The 11985-nt window shown below is 35.0% G+C and overlaps 1 pseudogene; it reads left to right on the top strand.

Annotated features, from left to right (window-relative positions):
* On the top strand, positions 382 to 903 carry RPL27AP3 (ribosomal protein L27a pseudogene 3; annotated as a pseudogene).

Below are 11985 nucleotides of genomic sequence, written 5' to 3'. Positions count from 1 at the left end.
CTCGTGAGAAAAGAGATGAGGCATGGATGATCTCAAGGTTTTTGTGTAAACATTGAGAGAAAGGAAATTTCTATACTGATAAAGAAAATATGAAGATAATAGAAGACTTGACAGAAATTCACATGGTAGGTTTTCTCATGTTAAGTTTGAGGTCGTTATTTGACATGTAAGAGGAGAGGTTGAATACATGAGCCTGGAATTCAGAGGAGCAGCTGATGCTGAAGATCACCTTTATGAGGTTCACAAGTTGTTCATTTGTGGTTAGTATTTGAAGTCATGGAACTGAATGAGATTACCTAGGATATAATTGTAGAGAATGTAATGGAGAGGGGTCCCAGGATTGACTCAGGCACACTGTATCATTAAGATTCAGCTTTCTTATTTTTGTCTGGCCTGCTGACATGCCATCCAGACTGAGGAAGACCCAGAAACTTTTGGGCTATGTGAGCCACGGCCACAGCTGCACTGTAAAAAAGTAAAGCACTGGAAGCACCCAGGAGGCCGTGGTAAGGCTGGTGGCATGCATCACACAGGATCAACTTTGACAAATATCACCCAGGTTACTTTGGGAAAGTTGGCATGAGGCATTACCACTTAAAGAGAAACCAGAGCTTCTGCCCTGCTGTCAATCTTGACAAATTGTGGACTTTGGTCAGGGAGCAGACATGGGTAAAAGTTGCTAAAAACAAGACTGGAGCTGCTCCCATTGTTGATGTGGTATGACCTGGCAATTAAAAAGTTCTGGGAAAGGGAAAGCTCCCAAAGCAGCTATTATTGTGAAGGCCAAATTCTTCAGCAGAAGAGCCAAGGAGACGATTAAGGGTGAAAGAGGTGGGGTGGGGGTGTGGGGTTGGGGTCTTGGTGGCTTGAAGCCACATGGAGGGATGTCCATTAAATGCTAACAATTGAAAAAGAAAAGATTCAGCTTTCTGATAAGACTAATCTGCCAAGCCTTAATAGATAGATTGGAGCTGTTGCTGCTCAGGATGTTGCTGTTCTTGAAGAAGAGAAAAGACACATGGCAAAGCATGAGCTGGCTCTTAAAGCTTGCACTCATAACACACACACTCACTTCTGTTCTCACTTCATTGGTCAAACCAAGTTTCACAATCACTTTCAAGTGCAATAGGCAGGGAATGTATAATCTTCCCACAGGAAGGGTTCTGCAGTGATGAACATTGCAGGGAGGGAAACAAGAATATTTGGCAAACAGAAATGTAGTTCACTAAAGAAATAAAGATATGACATTGGAAAGCTTTTGTCTTTCTTGTCTAATATAATGACTGTAAACTACTGAATTTTTTTCTTTGCTTTTCTCATCATCTGATGTCTTTCTCCATTTATGCCCAAGGAACTATGTCTCAGCAGCCAAAGTTCCTAATTAGTCTTTTAATTTCTTCTTAGAGTTCATCCCAATTGAGAGTAAAGGCGATTTCTAGAGCTGGAGCCACTGACATTTCTTGTCATTGGAGGGTTCTTATCATGGGATCCTCCTGTACAATAGTTCTTTAAATTTTTTCCAGTTGAGGACCTTGCTATTTAGGTTTACTCTCATCTAATACCACTTATTCCAGACCTAAGCTACCATTAACCTCTGCCTCTATCTCTTCTTTGAATCCTCTGATGGAATTTTTAAAGAAGCCACAGATTTTCTCATAGTTGCAACATAACAAAAAGAATACATGATGTGTTTAAAATTGAAGGAGATCTGCCTTCACTGATGTTCTGGTTCACTGATGTCACTACCTAGCCTTTCACTTGAAGCAAGTAATTGACCTTCAAAGATTTTTCTCATCTGTAAAATTGAAATAGTTACACCTACTGTATTAGTCTGTTTTTACACTGCTATAAAGATACTACCCAAGACTGGGTAATTTATAAAGAAAGGAGGTTTAATTGACTCACAGTTCTGCAAGGCTGGGGAGGCCTCAGGAAACTTACAATTATAGTAGAAGGGGAAGCAGGAACGTCTTGCATGGCAGCAGACGAGACAGCTCATGTAGAAAGTGAAAGGGAAAGAGCCCTCATGAAACCATCAGATCTAGTGAGAACTCACTCACTATCACGAGAACAGCATGGGGGAAACCACCCCCATGACCTAACCACCTCCCACCATCTCCCTCCTTTGACATGTGGGGATTATGAGGATTACAATTCAAGATGAGATTTGGGTGGGGACACAACCAAACCATATCATCTGCCTGGTAGCACTGTTCTGAGGATTGAATTAGACAGCACATGTAAGGTGCTTCATAAATTCTAAAGAGGAAAAAAGTTGGTTCATGTGGTTGTCGCTATCATTCCAGGATGAGTTAGGAACACACAGTCATGCATGTTATTGATTCTGGAATGAGAGAAATAGGAACAGGTCTTATGAGGCCCTAATATGTTGCTTTTATTAATATTTTCTAGTGAAGGTATTGCATGATGAAATAAATAGATCGGAATCTTCTAACAAGCTTGTCTGGAATTACCATACTGAGTACACAAAGGATCTCACCATAATAAAATGAATTTCTCCTTGTCAAGGTTCTAGTTCCTTGTCTACCACTGGGTAGAGTGACTCTGGTAGAAGCAGCCTTTATGTTGGCAACCTAGTCTCTGGTTAGCATCATAGTAACTGGTAAGCTTCTGAGGTAACTAACCCACAATGATAGGGGCTTATTTCTTCATATTAGGATTCAGCTTTCTGATAAGACCAATATGCTAGGCCTTAATGCACAGAAAATGCCAGCTCCTAAAGATATCAAGTCTGCATGTATTTGGAATTTAATAATTTTTATACATATCTTCAAATTTTCCACCACATGAAATAATAATTCTAAGATATTGGCATGCCAGAAATAATAGTAATCAAACTTCACTGAATAACATTTTATTTTTACAAAGACCTTTTCCATCCCATTTGGTGCTGCCAAGGCATTATCTATACAAAATGTGTATGGATTGGGAAGAGTATTTCCACAGTTTTTTTGCTTAAACCAAAGAGGAAAACATCTGGTCAAACCCATTTATCACTACATTTTCTCTGTAGTATGAAGGTATTCTTGGCCATATTCTTGGCTAATTTGTTCTTGCCAGTAACTCAAAGGGTATAAAAAATGTAATAAATTAGGAAAGAACCGAAATTCTAAAATTTCAGTAAAAACACAGATACACCTCTAACTTAGAGACTCTAAAAATGGAATATGGTATGTAATGGGTAAGAGATTTCCTTCTTTTTTTGAACAAATTTTGAGGGTTGGAGATCTATAAAAGATGAAATTTAAAAAGAAATAACTCAAAGAAAAAAGAAAATGAGGAAGCATTAGTAAAAAAAAATCAGTATCGCTGTATAAAGAGTTTTCTGATTCATCTCTTTCACTTTAAGAGACGCAAAAAAAGAAAGAAGAAACTCAAAAATAATCTCTAATTGAAAAGAGAAACACAAACATCTAGAAATAATGTCAGAAAGATTAAAACTCAGAATACATTTGAGAGTTTGAAAAAAAGTTACTAAATGCAGCCTAAGTGACTTCTTAAGCTATGTTGGGAGCAGGAAGAAGAGTAAAAAGAATGCCTTAGACTCTACATTGGAGACAAATGATCTCAGGTCTCTAGAAGTAACAATATCCAAAACCTGTTTTGATTTCATATTTGCTACAAAAGGGCAAAATTTCCAAATAATAAGACAAATCAAGTTAGAGAAGCAATCATAGACCAATATATGTAAGGAGGTAATCAGAAAATAACTAAAAATGAATTTGAGTCTCTATATGCAGATAAAGATTCCTGTCAGGATGGCAAAGAAACTTTCATCAATTAGCTACTATCTCCTGTTTAGCAATATTCCAAACCATCATAGAGTCTTGTATAGGTTTCTGAAAGCTTGGCACCTAATAATGTCCTTCTTCCAGAAAAATATGAACCTATCTATCATGAAATGGTAGAACAAATTATTATGTAAAGGACTCATATTTAGAGAAGAATATACATTTTTACATGTCTTTTTAGGATAAAACATTCAAAAATATGTTACCATATTTTACCAGTTATTAGATTGGTGGGAGTGGAATGTTAAGATTGGTGTATAATGTTTTCAGAAAAAAGAATTACCTCTCATAATAACCTTATGGATATGCTGGTTATGTAAGCAGAATCATAGCCCAGAGATTACTTTTAAATGTTGGCTTGCTTTGTTTATCAGGGACATAGTGCATGTCAGGTTAAAGGATATTGAGAACCTTCCTTTCCTCCTAATGCTGTCTGGATTTCAATGGTAGTTCGTGGTGGTAAGATAGAGCCTACTTTTTTTCCTCAAGGTAAGCATGAGTCCTGCTGGTAGATGCAATAGTATAGAGGAGGAAGAATTGGATTATGTTCTAGTCTTAGCTGTGCTGTTTGGTAGCTGTATGACCTTGCAAGTATCCCTATCTGTAAAACAAAGATAATAATGCCTGCAAGTCCATCTTATAGGTGGCTGTGAGTTTACATAAGACTGTAGTATTAAAAGGCTTTATAAAGATTATCTAAGGACAAATATGCAAGATAAGGGTATCACTCATATCTCTGTTTCAATCTGGAATGCAGGCAAACAGGGAAGACTGGAGAGTTCCTTTCCTCAATCCCTACTGATCAACACTTTCATCAGTGGAAATAGAAGACATAATTATTAGATTCTAAGAGCTTGGCAATGGTTGACTCAAGATTCAAAATTTTATTGCCCAACTTTATACTTCCAGGCAAAAATATCAGACCAAAACAACAAGATGAAATTTGGCAGGAATAAAAGTCTGCAGTCTAGACGTGGAAATGCAAATATGTAAGTACAAAATGGGAGGAAAAAGCAATCAGACAGCAGTTCATGTGAAACAATCTGGAGTATTTAGTTGACCACATGGTTAATAAGAATATTATGGAAAGTGTAAATCCCTTCATTCTGAGATAGTCAGATAACGTTGGCGCAATCCCTGGAATGTACTAGATACATGGAAAAGTTACTTTGCTCAATTCGGCACCCTCTTCCCCTTTAATTCAAGAAAGACATCTACAATCTGTTATGGGACTGGCAGATGCTGGCAGTGTCAGAAAACTATGATCTATGGGAAATGTTGAAGGAACAGAGACAGGTTAAACTTAGGAATCAGACTAGTGGAAAACCTTAATAGCTGTCTTCAAATATCTAAAGGACTGTCAAATGTTGTTACAGGGATTATTTTCACTGTGTCATTCCAGAGAGCAGAGCAGGAATCAGCGGGTGAAAGCAAAAAAGAAGGCATATTGTTGGCTCAAAGAAACAACTTTATGATAACACCTCAATCTGTACAACAACCGGAAGGACTGCTTGGTGAGAAAATAAGATCTCTATTGTTGGAGGTTTAAGCCAAGTCTGGCTACAATCTATTACAACACATTTCTGCTTTGGGCTGGTGTCTAAGGTCCTTACCACTCTCAGGGTCTGTGATTTTATTAGATATTTGTCTTTATTTCCAAGACTATTATATATCCAAATGTTTATTTTCACTTTTTGTATTACATAGATATCAATAGACAAATTGCAGGGAAGTATATTATTTTTCTGCCCATAGGACATTTTGAAGAAGCTAGTCAACCCCTAAAAATTGCTGATTTACCATCTTAGAGGTTTCTTTACTCCACAGATGTAATTTATTGCACACAATTATGATATATAATATTTCTGGCTTATTAAGCATGAAAAAGCCATATTTCTGCTCTATTATGGTTGAGTTCTCTACCTTAGAAAGACTTAACATTCATAGTTAAGGTTACTATAGTAACCATAACTCAATTCCTTGTGGCTATAAATTACTCTGTATTCCTATATGTTAACTTTGATTCTTTATGTTCATATGATATCCAGCTCTTCAAAGTTACAAACTATAGTCTCTGGATAAAGGTAATAAATTAAATGGGTCAAGGATCTGTTCCCTTAATAATCAGGAAAAGAATTGCTTGAAGTAGATAGTCACAATAAGCAAAAATAGAAAAATTAGTGTTTTATGTGATAACAAAGGGCGAACAAAGGTTCATGGTATATTATAGTGTGGATAGTAGTAAAAAATAAAGTGAGCATAAATTCACAAAATTATATGTAGGGAAAATGTGTAAACTGTGGTACCCTGCAGATTAAGGATAAAAAGAAAGTGAACAATGTATACTCAACCACTTCCCCTTTCTATTCTCATGGTAAACATCAATAATTAATTATGGCACTTTTTTTCTACTCTTCTCAGACATGTCTTCAGAATCTTTCACAACACAATGTTGTTGGCAGTCACTGTTAATTGATCTCAATTATTTTAAATTCTCATTTCTTCTAGAAATCTCTTAATTATGAATATAGAAAAGGCAATACTTTCCATGTTATTTGCCCTAATCAGAGTCTATTGTTCCTGCAGCTAGATCTGAGATATTGGGAGGATTTAATATAGGAACTATTTGTGATACAATAGGGGAACATGGCCATATTTTATTGAAAATATTGGGGGCTTGGACTCAAAAAGATTTTAGCTGTGGCTCTTGAGGAAAAACTTAACTTCTCTGAGCCTTACCTTTTTATGTTTAAAATGTACATAATAATGTCTATCAGCAATGTTTTTTTTGAGAGGAAAGCACTTAGGACATTTTATGGCACATGCTCTAGGCAGGACTGAGTAATGAGGGAGAACAGGTTCACCCGCCAGGCCAAATTAATATTGGTGATTAATAGAATCTGCACTGTTGTAGCCAGATCATCTTCATATTCAAATGCTTTTGCAGTTTACATTGCACAACCAAAAAGAGCTTAGATTAAGCTCAGCTAGTAACCAATTTGGGGTTATTATAATTTGTTTCATTTTTCCTAGCTACACTGAAATTCCCTGAGGGCAGAGGTAACATTTAGTTTGACTTTGTGTCTGCAAAACAGCCTTGTGTTTATAAGACTTGAAAAAAATTTAAAATAAAAGGTTAGTGACAAGATATATGAAGGATCACTTTAACCTAATAAACCTTAAAAACTATAGATAAAAATATAGATTATTCCTACTGGCTAGAGAATATCATGACACAGGCTTAAACTACAACATGACGAATGTAACTTAGGTGCAAAATAATAAAATACCACGGTAGAACTATAGGACATTGAGGGAAGAGTGGTTGCAATCCAGTTCTACAAATTAATAAGCTACTGATATCTCTATTATATTACTCTGAATTTTCTGAAGTTATTAAATATCATAGTAGGCTGCCTATAGAATTGATGCACTATCCCTTAAATTATTAACAAAATAAGAACCTTCTCCCTGATATAATTACATAGATCATCATCAATATCACATGTATTATTATAACATATACCCCTTTTGGCCATAACTACTACATTGTATATAAATATGTCTGCTATTAGGGAACCTATACAATACATTTCTGCATTAGGCAGGTCTCTAAGGCCCTTAACACTCTCAGGGTCTATGGTTTTATATATTTGCCTTTATTTCCAAGACTATTCTCTATCCAAAATGTTTATTTTCACTTTTTGTATTACATAGATATCAACAGACAGTTTGCAGTGGAAGTATATTGTTTTTCTGCCTGCAAGATATTTTAAAGAAGCTAGTCAACCCTTAAAAATTGCTGATTTACCATCTTAGAGGTATTACTAATATTAGAGTTATTACTAATATCAATTAGTAATAGATTATTAACTGTCATAGCAATAATAATAATGGTAATATGAATCATATGAAAATATGTAGCAAGCTATGTATTATCAGATTAGTAAGGAAAAAGTAATTGTAATAACAAAATAACAATAACAACAATGTCTAAAATGCCAGTCAGGTGAAATTCATGTGGAACCTAGGCCTATGGATGATTTGGAAGTGTTAATACTTACGAAAAGAACATTTATCAGAAAGGAGAGGAAAAAAATGTGATGAAAAAGAGAGTAATATTTGGTTGAAAAACATCATTGCAAATGTTAAAAGCAATCTCCAATTTATCCAAAATAGATCCTTGGTCAAGGAGAACTCTAAGGCAACAAAAGTGCATCATACAAAACTAAACAGAGGACAATAAACAATGATGAGAACAAAATTGACCAAGTAGTGGGCAGTGTTGTGGAGCTCCTGGAAAGGATTTTGATAGTATGATGGGCTTCATCAGAGAGGTTGCTCTAGTTTTGGATCAAATCTATCATTATATATAGTACTACAGAGTTTTTACTATGGGGCATAGGGCTACTGAGGTTTGTCCATAAGAGTTTGCTTTTAGAAAAAGTACCCTCTTGGTGTTTTATGACCACAGTCCTTACAAGAGTCTCCTAGGTTTCTAGATGGGGTCTGAAATTGTAAGCAGCCTGATGATACTACCATGGGTACTCTGGTCAACTGGCCACAAGGGTATAATATAATAATAAGTCAGCAATAAAATTCAGACATCATAAAATTCAGAAAGCCCATTGCTCGTAAGAATAGATTTGAGCAATTGTCTTGCTTTTGTTAAAAATCCTGAGGTCAGCAATCCCATTATTGGGTATATACCAAAGGAAATATAAATCATTCCACCACAAGGACACATGAACATGTATGTTCATCACAGCGCTATTCACAATAGCAAAGTCATGGACTCTATCTCAATGCCCATCGATGTAAGTAGACTAGGTGGAAGAAAATGTGGCACGTATATACTATAGAATACTATGAAGCCATAAAAAATGAGATTATGTCCTTTGCAGCAACTTGGATGGAACTGGAGGCCATAACACTTAGCTAACTAACACAGGAACAGAAAACCAATACCGCATGTGCTCACTTATAAGTGGGAGCTAAACACCGAATACACATGAACACAAAGAAGGGAACAACAGACACCAGGGCCTACTTGAGAGTTGGGGGTGGGAGGGGGTTGAGGATAGAAAAACAACCTATTAGATACTATGCGTATTACTTTGGCGACAAAATAATCTGTATACCAAATCCCTGTGACATGCAATTTACCCATATAACAAACCTGTACATGTACCTCTGAACCTAATATAAAAGTCAGAAAAAATCCTAGAGTCATTTAAGTTCTGAATATTCCTTTGTGCACCATTATTTGTAAAGATAAAGACTACATGATTTTTAAAAACAGTTGAATTTTTAAAAGTAGTAACTTTCTTTTCCTTCAATAGTATTATATGTAACAAACTCTAGAAAATGAGATTAAAGAAAGACACAAAATCACACTGCAATTTTGCCTTGCAGAGATAGGCACTAGTCTATAAACTCCTTGAAGGTAAAATCTAGGCCTTCCTTGTTTTCCATTGTATCCATGGTGAAGAGTATAGTACCTGCCATGAGATAGCAATAATATATATCTGTTAAATAAAATAAATGTCAACATTTTGGTGTATGTGCTTCTAGAATTTTTTAATATGTAAATACTCCTTAAAAATGAGTATAGTTTGTTAATTTTAAATCCTGGAAAGCAGTCAAATTTTAAACACTAATCATCTTGGATTGAAAACTCATTTCCTCAATATTACAAGATTTTGTAGATTCATAAAATATGAGTATTGGAAGAGAATGAAAGTGATTTAGTCCAAAGCTCTCATTTTATATATAAGTGAAACTTAAAATGGTGAAGACATTTGCTTAAGGTTAGGGCAGAAATCCAGGCCTCTGACTTTCAGGTAGAATTCTTGCTGCCATATAACATGCTTCGTTAAACTATGCTCTATCTTATTCTAAACTTTTTAAAAGTCATGCTTCTACAAGAATTGTGGTTGCATTATTACTGTGCATATAATAATTTATACAATGTAATAATTATAATTAATAATACAATTAGTAATAATCTTATTTTTGTGTATTCCTTTGAATATTTCTCATTTTCTCTGAAGAAAACTTAAACATTTGGCCAAATTATCTGTGAAGGTTTTTGGAATTGATTACCATGTCTAAATAGTTTCTAACGTCCACTTTATTTTTTGTTATTAAATAACTATATTTGTTTTAATATTTAACAGTCAGCTTTAGGATATATACATATGTATAAAATGTTCTTTTTTTCAAATCAGGATATATACATATTCATTATGACTTAATTGATACATGTTTTGAAAACCCCAGTGGTTCTTCTTCCATTGCCAAAAAACAAGGAATGCGTACAATTTAAGTAACTTGCTATCCTTGAGAGCAAACATCTTTCCACTAAATACCATTCAATAATTAGATTTGTTTTCTCTCAAATATTTTAATTCTTCTTATACACCGTTTCTTGTGTTATTCATCTTATTTGACCTAATGTGATTTCAGTAAGGTCTTCAATGGTCAAGATACATGTTTAAAGATCTTTGAAGGTGAGTGATTACAACTATGCCCGAGAATTTCCTGTGAAAATACTAATGCCTCAGACTAGTGTAATGGTAGCCTCAGAAAAGGAAACATAAAATTTAAATAATAAACATTACTACATGGTGTTTTTTAAATATCATTGTACAATATATTTAAATATGATCAAAATAAACCAAACAATAATGCAACAGTTCTGCATCTTTTCCAACTTGCCCCCCTTATTCCAGCTAAAAGTGATTTCCCAAGCTGAGAATTTCCAGCCAATCATCTTGATCATGTACGTGGTAAATTTATAAGCCATATCAAGTCCTTCGCCCTCATGTTTCACTCAGTTTTTCTAGACTTCCTGAACATGAAAAAATTAAATTTTATTAGCCAATACCTTTCCATCAGTTCTTTTTCTCTCCCCTTTATCACTATTATTCTAAGATTGCAGTTGTGAGAAAACTCTGTGGACCTTTATGACAAAATGAAGAAAATAACAAAACTTATGAAACAAATTCTGACTTTTGGTTAAGAGGCAAATAGACTGAAGAAGAGCAGGTGAGGGAGGGAGGTGGGAAGCAGGGGAGAAAGGCTAAATTATACAGATACTGAGAATCACAGACAACTTCCATTTGATGATATTTCCTTTGTTGCTTTCTACCTTAATTTTTTTTTCTTAGATGTAAAGGTCGAGCAAGAGCTGGAGTAAGCAATTTCTTCTTTTTTCTCCGTCCTCCCATTCCCAGGCTCAGATCATCTGCTCTTCTCCAGCCAGGAACTATTTGCAGTGGTGCTTCATGCTTAGCATTCCCTCTAATTGCTATCCATCTGTTTCCATCAACCCCCTAAGCCATTTGTCTCATTTGAATATCTTGTTCCTTTTCTAGACACTTCAAACCAAATTCTGAACTCAAATATTTACATAACATTTCCAAAGATTTCTGCATCTGTATCACTACCACTGGCCATTTTCGAAAGACTGTTATTCAGGTCTTCTCACACTGTGTTACATATGCAATTATTATTACTTTGATAATATGGCAGTAAGAAGAAGTTGAATGGAGCATTAAGTTCATCCTTTTATGATATATTCCATAATTTAAGGACAGTATCTTCCTCTGATCCAACTTCAAGATAAGTATCTTACCAAATTATTTTGAAATTATAGATTTTAGAAATATGACTAAACAAAACCAATTAGTAGTGGAGGTATCACAGTAGCCCTAGAGTGTTCCTTTGATAATCTAAAACAATGGATTTAGAAAATCCCTACTCTCCAAATTGTCTTGTTGCATATGAAATAAAGGTCTCAATAAAAAGTAACGAGTAAACAGATTTCATTCCGCATTTACAATGATGGAAGTGGTCATTGTTTCTTCCAGAGGTAACTTACTGGATGTAATACTCTTCCCCAAACAACAACAGCAATGCAGCAACAACAACAACACTTACACACACACACACACACACACACACACACACACACACACACCTATTTCAAAATATCTGCATTATATTCACTGCTGTTTGTTCAGTGTGAAACAAATAGTAGAGAAACCACCAAAGCATCTTACAAATGTTGCTTCCCCACTTTTAAGCAGGCACCTGTCTCTAGAAATCCTGGGTGTCTGTAAAACTATAAAAAGCCACAGGGGAAAAATTTAAATATTGTTTTCATCAC

The sequence above is a fragment of the Homo sapiens genome, chromosome 2 (genome assembly GCF_000001405.40).
Source record: "Homo sapiens chromosome 2, GRCh38.p14 Primary Assembly".
NCBI classification, from domain to species: Eukaryota; Metazoa; Chordata; class Mammalia; order Primates; family Hominidae; genus Homo; species Homo sapiens.
This window is presented reverse-complemented; position numbering and strand designations above follow the sequence as displayed.